The 19,125-nt window shown below is 38.5% G+C and overlaps 1 protein-coding gene across 1 annotated transcript in view; it reads left to right on the top strand.

Annotated features, from left to right (window-relative positions):
- POLQ (DNA polymerase theta) overlaps window positions 1–19,125 on the top strand; it is a 114,558-nt gene that overhangs the window by 72,055 nt on the left and 23,378 nt on the right. The window contains exons 21-25 of the mRNA NM_199420.4: window positions 447–584; window positions 1,770–1,944; window positions 5,503–5,629; window positions 6,294–6,415; window positions 13,700–13,884. Coding sequence (NP_955452.3) covers window positions 447–584; window positions 1,770–1,944; window positions 5,503–5,629; window positions 6,294–6,415; window positions 13,700–13,884 — 747 coding nt within the window. The remainder of the gene's footprint in view (window positions 1–446; window positions 585–1,769; window positions 1,945–5,502; window positions 5,630–6,293; window positions 6,416–13,699; window positions 13,885–19,125) is intronic.

Raw genomic sequence — 19,125 nt, 5'->3', positions numbered from 1 at the left:
CCAACATGGCGAAATCCTGTCTCTACCAAAGATACAAAAATTAGGTGGGCATGGTGGTGCATGCCTGTGGCCCTAGCTACTCGGGAGGCTGAGGTGGGAGGATCACTTGAGCCCAGGAAGTCAAGGCTAGAGTGAGCTGTGATCACACCACTACACTCTGGCCTGGGTGACAGTGAGATCCTGTCTCAAAAAAAAAAAAAAAAAAAGGCCTTGTGTTAGTATTAATTAATCTGATAGTGTCTAATTAGAGTATGGATAGACTACCTGACATATAAATTTTGATTGCCATCATTTATTAAATATGGTAATTCCAAATTATCCACAGAAACATTATTTCAATCCATGTTGAACTGTAGAGATTGTTTTCTGAAATAACTTAAAATATTTTCTGAATGATAATCCTTGCAAGTTTCATTCTTGACTAAAGAGACATTAATTTCTTGCAGGTTTTATTTTTGGAATTGAAGTTGCCCCCAAATAGAGAGATGAAAAACCAAGGCAGCAAGAAAACTCTGGGTTCTACCAGAAGAGGGATTGACAATGGACGCAAGCTAAGGCTGGGAAGACAGTTCAGCACTAGTAAGGTGCTCTTTGGGGCAGTCACAGAGCAGGGCAGAACCTAAACTACTTTTAACATTTTGGTGTCTAGAAAGAATGCTGATGAAATCAACATCTTAGCCTACCATTTGAATTTACCCAGATATAAATTAACACATTGGTTTGTGGTTTGGTAGCCCACAAATTCTGTGGAGATATTCCAGCATGGAAAATCCGAATCATAAGTTAGCAGTTGTGTCCTTCCTTCCTATCATTAAAATGGTGTAAAGGTTTATAAAGGTGTACCACCATGCCTGGCTAATTTTTGTATTTTTAGTGGAGATGGGGTTTCACCATGTTGGCCAGGCTGGTCTTGAACTCCTGACCTCAAGGGATCCTCCCGCCTCAGCCTCCCAACGTGCTGGGATTACAGGCATGAGCCACTGCACCAGGCCCTGATTTAAGAATTTAATCTGCTAATTTCAAAGTACAATTGTTAATCATAATCCATGGAAACTGTACACATTAGTGGGAGGGAAGAGAGAAGGGGCTTAATTTTACATTTTTACAGATGTTTCAGGGGAAAAATAGGGTAGAAAATATAGCCACAGAGCTGTCCAAGTTGCCCTTGTGTAGAATTGTGGTCCTTATACCGTTATCTATGATTTGTCTGCTCCTAGGAAGTTTCCTTAGCTCCAGGCTATAGCACAATTTTTAATTTAATCTCACTGGCCCTTTTACTCACAAGTTTCTGTTCCTTAATAGTTCACTGAAAGTCTATAGTATGAAAAATTCAAAGTTTTAAAAATAAATGTCTCCTGATTACCTTGATATGGAAACCGTATAAGTATCCGGGCAAGCACAAAAACAACTGGGATACTTCCAGTCATGTGAGGAGCGAAGGAGGAAAATGCATAAAGAAAACAGATGGTGTAAAATAAACTTTTGGTCGGGTGTGGGGAGGCAGTTACTTTGTTAAACTGACAATTCATTTATTTTTTTGAAAAAGGTAGTTTTAAATTGATACTGCTCAGTATTACCACATTTCCATTTTGTAAACTGTAGTTATAGTTTTATCAATACGGTGGTTTAAAAAACTCCAAGTAATAGTTTTGAGTTGTCGATATTACTCTCAAATTTAATTTTGAGACTGTATTATTTACAGAAAAGAGATTCTAGCTTGCTGTGGAATTTGGACAAGAATTCAATCTTACCTTATATTTTTTTGGCAGGACGTTTTAAATAAATTAAAGGCATTACATCCTTTACCAGGCTTGATATTAGAATGGAGAAGAATCACTAATGCTATTACCAAAGTGGTCTTTCCCCTTCAGCGGGAAAAGTGTCTTAATCCTTTTCTTGGAATGGAAAGAATCTATCCTGTATCACAGTCGCACACTGCTACAGGTGATGAGAAATCTTAAGTATAAACAATATCCAATTTTGAAGGAAAAGCATTTTCATATGTAATATTTTTTATGATGGCCAAGAATTCAAGTGTTGATCAAGGGGTTCGGTGAAGTTTTACAACTATAAAATACATGCTTTATCCAAAGCATAGATAGATACTACCTGGGTACAGAGATGAGTATTGGTTCCTGCTTTTATTTTTATTTATTTATTTATTTATTTATTTTGAGACAGAGTTTCACTCTTGTTGGCCAGGCTGGAGTGCGGTGGCACGATCTCAGCTCCCTGCAACCTCCACCTCCCTGCAACCTCTGCCTCCCAGGTTCAAGTGATTCTCCTGCCTCAACCTCCCGAGTAGCTGGGATTACAGGCGCATACCACCACATCTGGCTAATTTTTGTATTTTTAGTAGAGATGGGGTTTCGTCACATTGATCAGGCTGGTCTCGAACTCCTGACCTCAGGTGATCCACCTGCCTCGGCCTCCCAAAGTGCTGGGATTACAGGCGTGAGCCACTGCGCCCAGCCTGGTTCCTGCTTTTAAGAACTTGTATAGAGTAACTGGGATGTCTGAGACAGTACTTTCAATGTGAGTATACACAGGAATTAAATATTTGAGTCAGTGGTCTTATCTAATTTCAGTCCCAGCCCTTTTTTGAGCCTCTTAAGATTTCTCCAAGTTGAATCTGAGTAGGCCTCTGGGGCATCCGTATAAGTAAGTGTCTTATTTTACCCAAGCAGAAAAGAAAGCTGTAGAGTCCTTTGGTTATCTCATGGTCCTCCTGAGATAAGTAAGAGTGTAATCTTATGAAGAAAAATGTATTCTTTCTCTAGGCAGTACAAAACTCTAAATATTTGCTAAATGTGATGTGTAGTGGAAGAAAAGGTAGCTTTAACTCATTCATAGAGGAGGCAGGCAGTTTAGATTGGTGGTATAGAATGTGGGCTTTGACATCAGAAATCAGGGTTTGAATCCTGGTTCTGTGAATCTTTAGACAAGATACTTAACCTCTCAATGCCTACATTTTTTTTCATGTATAAAACAAGGTAATAGGCTGGGCACAGTGGCTGCCGCCTGTAATCCCAGCACTTTGGGAGGCCAAGATGGGAGGGTCACTTGAGCCCAGGAGTTTGAGACTAGCCTGGGCAAGATAGTGAAACCATGTCTCTATAGAAAGTCAAAACCATGTCTCTATAGAAAGTCAAAAAATTAGCCATGTGTGGTATCTTGTGCCTGTAGTCCCAGCCACTTGGAAGGCTGAGGTAGAAGGATTGCTTGAGCCTCGGAGATCAAGGCTACAGTGAGCTGTGATTGAGCCACTGCACTTCAGCCTGGGCAACAGAGTGAGACCCTGTCTCAGTCAATAAATAAACCAATAAACGAATAAGGTAATAACAGTCTCACCCCACCTGGTAATTCTGAGGATTAAATAGGTTCATAGATGTAGGGTATTTAGAATAGTGCATGGCTCCTAGAAAGTGCTCACTATCAGTTGCTGCTGTTACCCAGCACGGAGGCTCCATGAGGTGCTGCTTTTCTCTGCTTGCTTTATCCCTTGTTCTAAACATTCTAAACTTGTCCCATCCTAGTGATATCTTGTCCTGTTGGTATTTAAATTTCACTTTGAAACATATGCTAATGATATAAACTTACGTAAAATAAAATCCTCCGTGATGAAAAGACAACATCAACCTAGAATTTTCTTTTATTTATTTATTTATTTATTTTTGAGACAGAGTCTCGCTCTGTCGCCAGACTGGAGTGCAGTGGCGTGATCTCGGCTCACTGCAACCTCCGCCTCCTAGGTTCAAGTGATTCTCCTGCCTCAGCTAATTTTTGTATTTTTAGTAGAGACAGTGTTTCACTATATTGGCCAGGATGGTCTCAATCTCTTGACCTCGTGATCCACCCACCTCAGCCTCCCAAAGTGCTGGGATTACAGGCATTAGCCACCACGCCCAGCAACCTAGAATTTTCAATGGTGTTGCACATTTATTTGTTCTTTACAAAACAGAAGATAAAATCAGTAATAAGCCTTCTGCTTTGTTATTTGTTCGTAAAGAACAAATAAATGTGCAACATTTCTTTTGATTTTATTACTGATTTTACTTATTAGTGATTTTAGAAATGTATTTTAATAATATTTTATAATGCTTATAATATTTAGAAATACAAACTTAAGCATAGCAAAGCCATTTCATGAATATACTTCATATCCATTAAGCTATATATTCATTCTTTGTAATTTATTTTTACCATTTTTTTTGGTCTGCCAGTGTTGCTTCATTAATTCAACTAATAGACCAGAGTAGTGTGCTGAATATTAAGTGTTATAGAAAAGAAGACAATGTGTTGATGTAAAAAGAGCCTTGGATGCCTTCCTCTGCTGTTTGTTAGCTTTGTAACACTGAACAGGCCATTTAATGTCAACAATTATGTTAAAGGTTATCATTAACTGAGCACTTATTTTGTGCTAAAAGCTAAATGACAAAGACATAATATTAGGGGATCATTCAAAAAAACAACGTCCAAGTCACTTAAAAGGTCTGATTTATCAGAAGATAATGGAGTTATACATAGCTAGTAGACAGCCTGTTACAATGAAGAGTGTGTCATAAAATAGAGTTTTAGTGTTGCTGATAGTGTTATAAAAAATCACAGTAACAAAATTTCTCAAACTTTTTTGGAGTGATACTTAACATGTTTTCATGTTTTAGAGAAATTCAACCAATAAGTAAACAAAAGATGTAAAATATATTTGGAAATAAAGGCTTTATAAGCATTTTTTTTTTTTTTTTTTTGAGACAGTCTCACTCTGTTGCCCAGGCTGGAGTACAGTGGCATGATCTCGGCTCAGTGCAACCTCCGCCTCCCAGGTTCAAGCAATTCTCCTGCCACAGCCTCCTAAGTAGCTGAGGATTGCAGGCACCCGCCATCATGCCCAGCTAATTTTTTGTGTTTTTAGTGGAGACGGGGTTTCACTATGTTGGCCAGGCTTATAAGCATTTTTTTAAAAAACAGCTTTCTGTTCACTGGAAAATTTACTATTAACCACCTGATTCAAGTCTCACCTGATTCAGTACTTCTAGTAAGTACTGTTGTAGATTCTCTTGATGAATGACAATGATGAAGAAAAACAGCCAGATGATGTCTGAAAGTGTTGTTTTTAGAAGCGTCAGTGGTTGTTTCTCCTAAGATCCATTTGATTAGCCTTTACTCATTAATATGACCGCTAACATGTTATAGTGCTGAAATCTGATACTCATTTTAGCATAAGACTAGTTCAGTTTATCAAATTACTTCTCATTGTGCGATGGTTTTCTGTGTAAAACATAGTAGTGTAGCCAATTCATACATTCATTTATTTGGGATGGTCTTGTACTTATTTTATCATTGTTAGACACATGAACATGATGAAAAATATTTAAATATAAATGTATTTCAGTTCAGCATTGATAGTCTGCATTTTTAAGATAATCCAGAAATGTGAATACTGTTAAGACAAATACTAGATTTTTTTTCCTGATTTTATGTCTTTATTCTGCTTGATTTTAGGACGAATAACCTTTACAGAACCAAATATTCAGAATGTGCCAAGAGATTTTGAAATCAAAATGCCAACACTAGTAGGAGAAAGCCCACCTTCTCAAGCTGTAGGCAAAGGCCTACTTCCCATGGGCAGGTAGGTGCTGTTTCTCTGTATCTGTATTAATAAACTTTTGTAAGTATGAATGGCTCAAAATAGCTTATTAGACAAATAAATGAAATTAATTTAATTTTATGTTTCAGACATACCCATTTCTGTCCTAGACCGTTTTGAATCCTGAGTCCCATCTATAAAGAAGCTAATTCATGTTTAATTCAATGTTTGCTAAAAAAAGTTCTAGTATCTTTGTTAAGCTTTAAAGTGAGTCTCAGATAAAGATTTGGTTTTCTTTGTTTGTTTGTTTTTTTGAGACGGAGTCTTGCTCTCTTGCCCAGGCTGGAGTGCAGTGGTGCGATCTCAGCTTACTGCAACCTCCACCTCCTGGGCTCGAGCAATCCTCCCACCTCAGCCTCCTGAGTAGCTGGGACCACAGGCGTGTGCCACCATGCCTAGCTAGTTTTTGTAGAGACAAGGGTCTCACTTTGTTGCCCTAACTAGACCCGAACTCCTGGGCTCAAGCAATCTACTCGCCTCGGCTTCCCAAAGTGCTGGTATTACAGGTGTGAGCTACCACACCCAGCCCTCAGTAAGGTTTTTATTAAGTTTCTTAGACGGAAATACTGATGTTACTGAAAATCAGACCTTTTTCATATATTTGAGACTGCTTCATGTCTAACTGATGATGTTGTTTGCACCACAGAGGAAAATATAAGAAGGGTTTCAGCGTGAATCCTAGATGCCAGGCACAGATGGAGGAGAGAGCTGCAGACAGAGGAATGCCATTTTCAATTAGCATGCGACATGCCTTTGTGCCTTTCCCAGGTAAGGTGGCTGATAGCTTTGAAGCTTCTCATTGCTGTGAGAATGTTTTTCAAAGCATGGATAAAGCCTGAAATATGAGTGAGACTTAGAGCATGCATTGGTCCCTCCATCTTTCTGTCTACGGTGGAGCCTGCCTTTCTCCTTTGTCATGCCAGGTTTATAGCAGTCATCATCTCCATGATCTGCTCTGTGGGAAACTTTTATGGTGTGTGCTCAGCAGCAGCAGTCTGCTGAAACCATGTTTTCTAACGTCATTGTAAACCTCTTTGCAAAGTCCAGTTGGTTTTGTCAGTCTTCATCCTCTTTAACTTGTTTACAGCATTTGTCACTGTTAATCAACTCCTTCTTCAATTTCTCTTCTCCCTTGACCTCTAAGGGCAGTTTTTCTCTCCTTCTAACTTGTTTGCTTTTATGTTTTTTCTCTCTTTTTCTGCACTGCTGCTTCCTATTGCATGGGGTGGCCCCTAAGGCTATTCTCATTCTGCCTGACCCCTCCTCAATACTCTAGTCATAAACCTTTTGTTGTCAAGACATTTGGAAGTTATGATGTAACTTGCAGATCATTCCAACTGTTAGTATACATATTTGTTCTTTAATCTTTCACCAGCTAGCAAGTCCTAGTGAGTACAATTAACCATCTGAATTTATTTAAATTCCATCAGAAACTTATATGCCAATGGTGAATTCAGACCTATGATGACATGTCCTGCTTGGCAATTTTTAGTTTTACTTATGTCTAAACTATCAGCATACACAATTCTATCAAAGTTATCCAAGGGAGTCCCCAGAAAGTCTATGTGGTGTATGGTAATTTTTTTTTTTTTTTTCGAGATGGAGTTTCCCTCTTGTTGCCCAGGCTGGAGTGCAATGGCGTGATCTCGGCTCAGCGCAACCTCTGCCTCCCAGGTTCAAGTGATTCTCCTGCCTCAGCTTCCCGAGTAGCTGGGATTACAAGCATGGGCCACCATGCCTGGCTAATTTTGTATTTTTAGTAGAGACAGGGTTTCTCCACGTTGGTCAGGCTGGTCTCGAACTCCCAACTTCAGGTGATCCGCCTGCCTCGGCTTCCCAAAGTGCTGGGATTACAGGCGTGAGCCACTGCGCCTGGCTAAGGTGTATGGTAATTTCTTTCTTTCTTTTTTTTTTTTTTTTTTTGAGACGGAGTCTCACTCTCGCCCAGGCTGAAGTGCAACAGAGTTTTCTTAAAACTCATGAATCAGTTTTTTTTTTTTTTTCCTTGCAGCTTCCTCACCCCTCTCAGCCTTCATAGAAATTCTGGAGTAGGAAAATGCAATTGACATACTGAATAGTACATCAGAGTCTCCTTGCTCTGGATTAGACTTTGGCTTAAGAGAATGTTGTGGCTGGTTTCATTTTTTTTATCCAGACCACTTAAATTTTCTCCATATTAGCAATAAGCCTGTTTTGCCTTCTTATCATTTGTGTGTTCAGCGTAGTAACACTTTTAATTTCCTTCAAGAACTTTTCCTTTGCATTCACAACTTGGCTAACTGTATGGCACAAGAGGCCTAGCTTTCAACCTATCTCAGCTTTTGACATGCCTTCCTCATAAGCTTAATCGTTTCTAGCTTTTTGGTTTAACGTGAGAGAGATGCGACTTTCCCTTTCACTTGAACACTTAGAGGCCATTGCCATTGTAGGGTGATTAATTGGCCTAATTTTAATATTGTATCTCAGGGAATAGGGAGTTCTGAGAGAGATGGGAGAAAGGTGGGGGAACAGCCAGTCAGTGGAGTAGTTAGAACACACACAAAATTGATCAATGAAGTTCACTCTTACATGAGTGTGGTTCATGGATTGTAATAATAGTAATATCAAAGATCACCATAACAGATAATAATGAGAGGGTTTGAAATAATGTGAGCATCACTATTAATAAAATGTGCCAGAGTGAGCACATGCTGTTGGAAAAATGGTGCTGAAACACTTGCTCCACTCAGAGTTGCCAAAAACCTTTAATTTCTTTAAGAAAAAAACCTGCAATATCTGTGAGGCATAATAAAGTCAAGTCCAATAAAGCAAGGTATGCTTGATTTTATAAAACTTATGTTTTGAAAAAGTAGATCACACGCCCAAGTTGTTTCAAACATACTCAAAAGTATTTCTCACAAGGCATGGTGGCTCACACCTGTAATCCCAGCACTTTGGGAGGCTGAAGCAGGAAGATCGCTTGAGTCCAGGACTTCATGACCAGCCTGGGCAACAAAGGGAGACCCCATCTTTACAGAAAGTCAAAAAATTAGCTAGGCATGGTGGTGCGCACCTGTAGTCCCAGCTACTCAGGACGCTGTGGTGGGAATATCATGTCACTTGAGCCCTGGAGGTTGGGGCTGCAGTGAGCCATGATCATGCCACTGCACTCCAGCCTAGGCGAAAAAGCAAGACCCTATGTCAAAAAAAAAAAAAAGAAAAAAGAAAAAAAACATTTCCAGTAACTGAATTGAGTACCAGAAACTCATTTTTTAAAAAATTGCATCTGATTGACAAAGCTGGTTCATCTTTTTTTAGAAGTATTAATTTGACTTTGAAGCAGAAACATCCATTACAAAACAATGTCTATACAAGTTAAGTAAATTTACTAATTCTTATGTTACTCATTATTACAAGTTAAGTATCCTTTATCTCAAATCCTTGGGACCAAAAGTATTTCAGATTTTGGAATATTTGTGTATACATAATGTGATGTCTTGGGGATGGGATCCAAGTCATAATGTGAAATTTATGTTTCATATACATCTTATAGACATAGCCTAAAGGTAATTTATACAATATTTTAAATTTTGTTCATGAAACAAAGTTATAACTTTGACCTGTTACAAGAGGTCGGTTGTGGAACTTTCCACTTGTGGCATTATGTCAGTGCTCAGAAAGTTTTAGATTTTAGAACAGTTTGGATTTTGAATTTTCAGATTAGGGATGCTGTACCTACAGTATGTCAAATTCAAAGGAGTATTACTTAAATAAAAAAGCGACTCTAAATTCATCAACATCAGAGCATTTTTAAAAATTTTTAATATTTTCAGTTTATATAACATGTTGATTGTAATTAAACTATACTGCATATTGATTTATGCTTTAAAAATGCATAAAATTATTATTATTATTGTTGTTGTTGTTGTTGTTTTTGGTAGAGATGGGGGTCCCACTATGTTACCCAGGCTGGTCTGGAACTCCTGGGCTCCTCCAGGAGTGATCCTCCAGCCTTGGCTTCCCAAATTATTGGGATTACAGGTGTGAGCCACTGCACCCAGCCCATTATTAATTTGTTTTATGAAAAGTTTTCATTTCCAAATACATTCTCTTACCTGTCTAGCTAGGTCAGAAGTACATTTTTCGCTTTCTTGGAGCCTCAAATATATGCTGTGTGATATCAGTCAAAAAACATAAACCACATTGTTCTTTTTGTCTTTGATTACTGAATACTTGGCAAATGTTCTTTTGTTTCAAGAAAATATTGAACTGGAGTACAGTTAATCTTTGTAGGACTCTCATGAATCAAACAAGGAGCTTTGACAGAGTATACAAGATTGTTAAATTCATTGTTGGAAATTTTCAACAGTTCTTAAGTTGGTGATGACTCAGCATTTGTACACATACATAAAATAATTTTAACTGTATTGTAACACTTTTGATGGTCTGATTTAGAAAACTAAACATAAATCTTTTTTATATATATAGTGGAATGAAGAAATAGGGAAACATCATTCTCCTGTTTAAAAATCTAAAAAAAAGAAGTTTTTAATGACAAAGCTAGAGCATTGTCTATATGATGAAAACTAATTTTTTCATATCTACTTAAAATTCTTCTTTGACAAATGTAAAAGATTCCAAAATATCTATGCCACTGGTTTGATTTTGTAAGCTAAGAATGGTGTTTTCTTTATAAATTTGGAAGTCCACTGAGACAAAGCCTATTCAGAATATTAATTAAGCAGTTTCTCTGTTATGGGACAATTTATCCAAAGCCAAAAAAGAAACACTTGCAATTTGATTGATCTATCATACTGTTAGGTTACCTATAGAATCTATAGGTAATTGTTTGGTGGTGTATTAGTCCGTTGTCATGCTGCTAATAAAGACCTACCTGAGACTGGGTGATTTATAAAGGAAGGAGGTTTGATGGACTCACAGTTCCACATTGCTGGGGAGGCCTCACAATCATGGTGGAAGATGAAGGAGAAGCAAAGGGACATCTTGACATCTTATATGGTGGCTGGCAAGAGCTTATGCAGGGGAACTCCCATTTATAAAACCATCAGATCTCGTGAGACGGACTCACTACCATGAGAACAGTATGGGGGAAACCACCCCCATGATTCATTTATCTTCACCTGACCTCTTGACATGTGAGTTTTGTTACAATTCAAGGTGAGGTTTGGATGGAGACATAGCCAAACCTTATCAGGTGTGTTATTTGAAGATCTTTTGCTTTTTGTAAAATGTGATTGATTCTTGTTATTCATGGTAGTTGCATTCTACAAAGCCACAATGAACACTAAATTAAACAAATATTGAAGCATTGCTGCTAGTATGCGGACGTTATGGTTGCCACCTTGTTGAATCTTTGGATTTTGTAGTCTTCACTAATAGAATATAAGGTTTTCTTTTGTCAGACAATTTACTTTCACATCAGCTTGGTCATTTTGAGGCTTTTAAAGCTTTGCTAACAAATGTTTAGAGTAGCCTGCACTCTAGGGCTAGGTTATTCCTGTTCATAAGGTGTGGCCTTTCTGGAGTCTACTTGGTGCTAAAGTTGTTTAACAAGATCTCTTCTCAGTCTTGTTTGTTACAGCTTGATCATTTCTCAGCATTCAAGAATATGTTGTTGAAGTAGTTGTTCAGCTGAAAGCTATGCAGTATTTGTTCTTCCTTTAGTAATATTTATTTCTTCAGTGTCTGTTCTTTGGCGCCCTGCACTTTCCCCCTGCACAACTTAATATTTGGTCAAAAATCCAAGGGAATTCCTGTGTGTATTTCTGGTGCTCCTTTTATGCACAACTCTTTTCTCTCCAAATTCCAGCTGCCTCAAAGCCCCAAACTCTAGACTGTGTTTCCTTAGTTCAGAGACAGATACAGCGCTGTGCTTCAGCTCCCTTTCCCTGCTACAGATTCTGGAAAATGCCTCCATTCAGATCCCTGAGACCTTTGTGTGGCTCACCTCATTTTCTTCCATTCTCAGTGATTATAGTTCTGCATGGCTTGTTGTCTAACATCTGAGAACCATTTTTTTTTTCCCATATAATTTGTCCAATTTTGTGGTTGTCTGTGGTAGGAAGTCCACCAAAGTTGTGGCCATTTACAGTTTGAGTATCCCTTGTGTGAAATGCTTGGGACTAGAAGTGTTTTAGATTTTGATTTTAGAATATTTACACTATTTAGAATATTTACCAATTGAACATTTCTAATCCAAAAATCCATTATCTGAAATGCCCCAGTGAGCGTGACGTTTGAGCATCTCGTTGGTGCTCAAAAGTTTTGGATTTTGGAGCATATTGGATTTTGGAATTTTGGATTAGGGATGCTCAACCTGTATTTTAAATTAGTATTTATCTCTGTTTTTGAATAGGTTATTCATTAACATAGTTCAGAAATCAACATGATATAAAAGATGTGTATTGGGAAGCTTTGCTTCCTTCCCTGTCATCTACACTATCCTTCCCAATTCTTATAGATTACTACATGTATGAGGCCTTTTATGTATTTTGACAGTATTTCTTTATGCAGATATAAGCAAATATGGGTATATAATCTTTTCCTATTTTTACACAAAATTAGCATTCTGTATACATTATTGTGTACCTTGCTTTTTTCATGTAATGTTTCTTTTTCTTTCTTTTTTTTTTTTTTTGAGACGGAGTCTCACTCTGTCACCAGGCTGGAGTACAGCGGTGGGATCTCAGCTCACTGCAACCTCCAACTCCCTGGTTCAAGCAATTCTCCAGCGTCAGCCTCCCGACTAGCTGGGATTACAGGCATGCTCCACCACTCCCAGCTAATTTTTGTATTTTTAGTAGAGACAGAGTTTCACCATGTTGGCCAGGATGGTCTCGATCTCCTGACCTCGTCATCTGCCTGCCTTGGCCTCCCAAAGTGCTAGGATTACAGGCATGAGACACTGTGCCTGGCTGTAATGTTTCTATACTAGAGATTTGTGCTTATCAATAAGGACATTTAAACAAAAACCAGTTTAAACTATGTTCAGGTAGTCTGTGCAGCAGTCTGTGGGCTTGTTTGCTGAGTCATAGAGTAAAAACCTGTTTAATTTCGATAGACACTGTTAAATTGCCAGCGAATGGGGAGGAGATTCCATTTTACTTCTCAGTAACAATGTACGAGTGTTTTTCTCCTCAGCCTTGTCACAGAGTGTTGTCCAACTTTTGTAATTTTTGCAATACAGGTGAAGAAAAATTGTTTCTTGCCATAGATTTTTTATTTCTCTTATGAAGCTGAGCATTCTTTAATATGTTTAAGGTTCTTTTGTTTTTATTATGTCTGAACTTCTTATTTATAGTTTGTCTTTTCCTCCACAAGTAACAACTCTTCTTATGAAAGGGCAATGAGTCTTTTGTGAGATCAGTTGCAAATATTTTTCTAATTTTTCTTTGACCCTGCTTTTATTTTTTTAACTTTGTTTTTGTTTTGTCATGCATATCTAATCCACCCATTTCTAATCTATAGGTAAATTATTTTAATCGTTTTAATAACTTGCTCACCTGTTGACCACTTGATTTTTTTCACTGAATGACTTTGTTATTGTCAAATCAGGGCACACATTTCTCTCCAGCCCACTTAACATTTGCACACATTGGACACCAGTTTTTTCATTAATTAATTCATTCAACAAGCATTTGTTAAGGGCCTATTATCTATCAGCAACTGTGCAAGCTTTTCTGTAGAATGAAAAGGAAAATTAAGCTTCCTATTCTTAAGTACTCAGAGCAAAATAAGAGAGGCATGAAAGCACCATTTTGGATTATGTGCCAGGTGCTGTAGGAACACTGAGGAACACACTCCACGGTGGGCAGATGTCAGGGTGGCTTTACCCATATTATATATACTTGAAAGCTACATGGAAAAAAATGACCTAAGATACAGAGCTGAATTCCATCATATTAAGAGGAAGGTTTTAACTTTTGACATGTGATTTCAAAGTTCTAAGTTAGAACAAAATTTTTGTCATCCTGCTCAATTATATGATATAGAACTTGGATTGTGTGATATAGAAACTTTGTACTAGCTTTTCTGAAATCACTTCTACTTCAGGTGGTTCAATACTGGCTGCTGACTACTCTCAGCTTGAACTGAGGATCTTGGCTCATTTATCCCATGATCGTCGTCTCATTCAAGTGTTAAACACTGGAGCTGATGTTTTCAGGAGCATTGCAGCAGAGTGGAAGATGATTGAGCCAGAGTCTGTTGGGGATGATCTGAGGCAGCAGGCAAAACAGGTGATTTTAGTGAACATGGTTAATATAAAGGAGAAGAATTTAGTGACTCAAAAAAAATTAAAAATGGTCTCAATTATTTGCAGCTGAGAAACAGTTTCTCCAACTTTGGATCTTTCAAAGCACAGTTCATCTGAGCTTATCTCATGGTATTCATTATATTTTCTTTTGTGGAGGCAGTAGGAAGAACCAAAAAGACTGAGATCTGAGGCTACTTCGTGTCAGGAAAACCATATGCATTTAAAGCCATTATATGGCTAGTCACAGTGCCTGGTACTCACTAGATGTCATGGTGGTAGTGGTGGTCAGAGTGCGTGTGTTCGTACACACCCGCATGTGTGCACATATGTATACTTAAAAAACATCTTTCCAGGCCGGGCGCGGTGGCTCACGCCTGTAATCCCAGCACTTTGGGAGGCTGAGGCGGGCGGATCATGAGGTCAGGAGATCAAGACTATCCTGGCTAACACAGTGAAACCCCGTCTCTACTAAAAATACAAAAACTTAGCTGGCCGTGGTGGTGGGTGCCTGTAGTCCCAGCTACTTGGGAGGCTGAGGCAGGAGAATGGCGTGAACCCAGGAGGCGGAGCTTGCAGTGAGCCGAGATAGCGCCACTGCACTCCAGCCTGGGTGAAAGAGCAAGACTCCATCTCGAAAAACAAAAAAAAAAAAAAAAAAAAAAATCTTTCTAGTCTGTAAGTGTTCTGAGGTAAAGTTCCATATTTTCATTTTTATATCTTTTATAGCATCAAGCCATAGTGCTTTGTACAGAAGGTGGTCTCTAAATGTTTGTTGAAAAAATATTGCTGACCTGTAGATTATAGTTAGTACCTGATAGCTTTTTAGCCGTTGAAGTTATTGGTTAGTAATCTACCTATGAAACTTCATGCTGCCTTTGTAACTTTGAAATGGATCCATGTTAGTTTCTACTCTGGATAACTATTAGGCAAAGAGTAAGTCAGAGGCCACATTTATACCATTCCTTGGCCTGGGTTAACACTGATACTTTCTTACCACATGACCCGTGGGAAATCTGATGCCATTTGCAAGACAGTAGGATTGCTAGCTGAGGTAAATGCACACCACCGTACTCTGAGATCCTGCTGTTTTTGTTTCGCATTTACATTTCTAGTTCCTCACAGTTGTAGTTTTTGTGTGTGTGTGTGGAGAGGTGAGGTCTCAATTTGTCGCCCAGGGTGGTCTTCAACTCCTGGCGTCAAGTGATACTTCCAACTTGGCCTCCCGAAGTGCTGGGATCGTAGGCATGAGCCACTGCACCCAGCCTCACAGCTGTACTTCTTGACTGGCTCATCAAGCATGGAACACTTTCTCTAACCACCTGTTTAGCACCAACACTTGTTTCTTCCACTATTTAAAAAGCCAGCTCTGTCCTCTCTGTCTGTTTAATCCCTGGAGAGGTTCTGCATTTAGCAAGAATCAAACCCTAGGTAAAATAGATAATATTCCCATATTTAATTCTCATAACCCATGAGATAGCTATTATTATTACTATCACCATTTTATAGAGGAGGAAACTGAAGCACAGAAAGTAATTTGCTTAAGGTCATGCAGCTATAAGTGGTAGACCAAGAATAAATTCAGAATGCCAGAACTTGGGCACCCGACTTCCTTTTATTTATTTATTTATTTATTTTTATTTTATTATTATTATACTTTAAGTTTTAGGGTACATGTGCACAATGTGCAGGTTAGTTACATATGTATACATGTGCCATGCTGGTGTGCTGCACCCATTAACTCGTCATTTAGCATTAGGTATATCTCCTAATGCTATCCCTCCCCCATTCCCCCACCACACAACAGTCCCCAGAGTGTGATGTTCCCCTTCCTGTGTCCATGTGTTCTCATTGTTCAATTCCCACCTATGAGTGAGAACATGCGGTGTTTGGTTTTTTGTTCTTGCGATAGTTTACTGAGAATGATGATTTCCAATTTCATCCATGTCCCTACAAAGGACATGAACTCATCATTTTTTATGGCTGCGTAGTATTCCATGGTGTATATGTGCCACATTTTCTTAATCTAGTCTATCATTGTTGGACATTTGGGTTGGTTCCAAGTCTTTGCTCTTGTGAATAGTGCCGCAATAAACATACGTGTGCATGTATCTTTATAGCAGCATGATTTATAGTCCTTTGGGTATATACCCAGTAATGGGATGGCTGGGTCAAATGGTATTTCTAGTACTAGATCCCTGAGGAATCGCCACACTGACTTCCACAATGGTTGAACTAGTTTACAGTCCCACCAACAGTGTAAAAGTGTTCCTATTTCTCCACATCCTCTCCAGCACCTGTTGTTTCCTGACGTTTTAATGATTGCCATTCTAACTGGTATGAGATGGTATCTCATTGTGGTTTTGATTTGCATTTCTCTGATGGCCAGTGATGATGAGCATTTTTTCATGTGTCTTTTGGCTACATAAATGTCTTCTTTTGAGAAGTGTCTGTTTATGTCCTTCGCCAACTTTTTGATGGGGTTGTTTGTTTTTTTCTTGTAAGTTTGTTTGAGTTCATTGTAGATTCTGGATATTAGCCCTTTGTCAGATGAGTAGGTTGCGAAAATTTTCTCCCATTCTGTAGGTTGCCTGTTCACTCTGATGGTAGCTTCTTTTGCTGTGCAGAAGCTCGTTAGTTTAATTAGATCCCATTTGTCAATTTTGGCTTTTGTTGCCATTGCTTTTGGTGTTTTAGACATGAAGTCCTTGCCCATGCCTATGTCCTGAATGGTATTGCCTAGGTTTTCTTCTAGGGTTTTTATGGTTTTAGGTTTAACAAGTAAGTCTTTAATCCATCTTGAATTAATTTTTGTATAAGGTGTAAGGAAGGGATCCAGTTTCAGGTTTCTACATATGGCTAGCCAGTTTTCCCAGCACCATTTATTAAATAGGGAATCCTTTCCCCATTGCTTGTTTTTCTCAGGTTTGTCAAAGATCAGATAGTTGTAGATATGCGGCGTTATTTCTGAGGGCTCTGTTCTGTTCCATTGATCTACATTTCTGTTTTGGTACCAGTACCATGCTGTTTTGGTTACTGTAGCCTTGTAGTATAGTTTGAAGTCAGGTAGCTTGATGCCTCCAGCTTTGTTCTTTTTGCTTAGGATTGACTTGGCGATGCAGGCTCTTTTTTGGTTCCATATGAACTTTAAAGTAGATTTTTCCAATTCTGTGAAGAAAGTCATTGGTAGTTTGATGGGGATGGCATTGAATCTACAAATTACCTTGGGCAGTATGGCCATTTTCACGATATTGATTCTTCCTACCTATGAGCATGGAATGTTCTTCCATTTCTTTGTATCCTCTTTTATTTCCTTGAGCAGTGGTTTGTAGTTCTCCTTGAAGAGGTCCTTCACATCCCTTGTAAGTTGGATTCCTAGGTATTTTATTCTCTTTGAAGCAATTGTGAATGGGAGTTCACTCATGATTTGGCTCTCTGTTTGTCTGTTATTGGTGTATAAGAATGCTTGTGATTTTTGTACATTGATTTTGTATCCTGAGACTTTGCTGAAGTTGCTCATGAGCTTAAGGAGATTTTGGGCTGAGACAATGGGGTTTTCTGGATATACAGTCATGTCATCTGCAAACAGGGACAATTTGACTTCCTCTTTTCCTAATTGAATACCCTTTATTTCCTTCTCCTGCCTGATTGCCCTGGCCAGATCTTCCAACACTATGTTGAATAGGAGTGGTGAGAGAGGGCATCCCTGTCTTGTGCCAGTTTTCACAGGGAATGCTTCCAGTTTTTGCCCGTTCAGTGTGATATTGGCTGTGGGTTTGTCATAGATAGCTCTTATTATTTTGAGATATGTCCCATCAGTACCTGATTTATTGAGAGTTTTTAGCATGAAGCGTTGTTGAATTTTGCCAAAGGCCTTTACTGCATCTATTGAGATAATCATGTGTTTTTTTTCTCTGTTTCTGTTTATATGCTGGATTACATTTATTGATTTGTGTATATTGAACCAGCCTTGCATCCCAGGGATGAAGCCCACTTGATCATGGTGGATAAGCTTTTTGATGTGCTGCTGGATTTGGTTTGCCAGTATTTTATTGAGGATTTTTGCATCAATGTTCATCAAGGACTTTGGACTAAAATTCTCTTTTTTGGTTGTCTCTGCCAGGCTTTGGTATCAGGATGATGCTGGCCTCATAAAATGAGTTAGGGAGGATTTCCTCTTTTTCTATTGATTGGAATAGCTTCAGAAGGAATGGTACCAGTTCCTCCTTGTAACTCTGGTAGAATTTGGCTGTGAATCCATCTGGTCCTGGACTCTTTTTGGTTGGTAAGCTATTGATTATTGCCACAATTTCAGAGCCTGTTATTGGTCTATTCAGAGATTCAACTTCTTCCTGGTTTAGTCTTGGGAGCGTGTGTGTGTCGTGGAATTTATCCATTTTTTCTAGATTTTCTAGTTTATTTGCGTAGAGGTGTTTGTAGTATTCTCTGATGGTAGTTTGTATTTCTGTGGGATCGGTGGTGATATCCCCTTTATCCTTTTTTTTTTGTGTCTATTTGATTCTTCTCTCTTTTCTTCTTTATTAGTCTTGCTAGCAGTCTATCAATTTTGTTGATCCTTTCAAAAAACCAGCTCCTGGATTCATTAATTTTTTGAAGGGTTTTTTGTGTCTCTATTTCCTTCAGTTCTGCTCTGATTTTAGTTATTTCTTGCCTTCTGCTAGCTTTTGAATGTGTTTGCTCTTGCTTTTCTAGTTCTTTTAATTGTGATGTTAGGGTGTCAATTTTGGATCTTTCCTGCTTTCTCTTGTGGGCATTTAGTGCTATAAATTTCCCTCTACACACTGCTTTGAATGTGTCCCAGAGATTCTGGTATGTTGTGTCTTTGTTCTCGTTGGTTTCAAAGAACATCTTTATTTCTGCCTTCATTTTGTTATGTACCCAGTAGTCATTCAGGAGCAGGTTGTTCAGTTTCCATGTAGTTGAGTGGTTTTGAGTGAGTTTCTTAATCCTGAGTTCTAGTTTGATTGCACTGTGGTCTGAGAGACAGTTTATTATAATTTCTGTTCTTTTACATTTGCTGAGGAGTGCTATACTTCCAACTATGTGGTCAATTTTGGAATAGGTGTGGTGTGCTGCTGAAAAAAATGTATATTCTATTGATTTGGGGTGGAGAGTTCTGTAGATGTCTATTAGATCTGCTTGGTGCAGAGCTGAGTTCAATTCCTGGGTATCCTTGTTAACTTTCTGTCTCGTTGATCTGTCTAAT

This window comes from Homo sapiens, chromosome 3, assembly GCF_000001405.40.
Source record: "Homo sapiens chromosome 3, GRCh38.p14 Primary Assembly".
Classification (NCBI taxonomy): Eukaryota; Metazoa; Chordata; class Mammalia; order Primates; family Hominidae; genus Homo; species Homo sapiens.
Note: the sequence above shows the minus strand (reverse complement) of the source record. Positions and strands in the feature narration are given on the sequence as shown.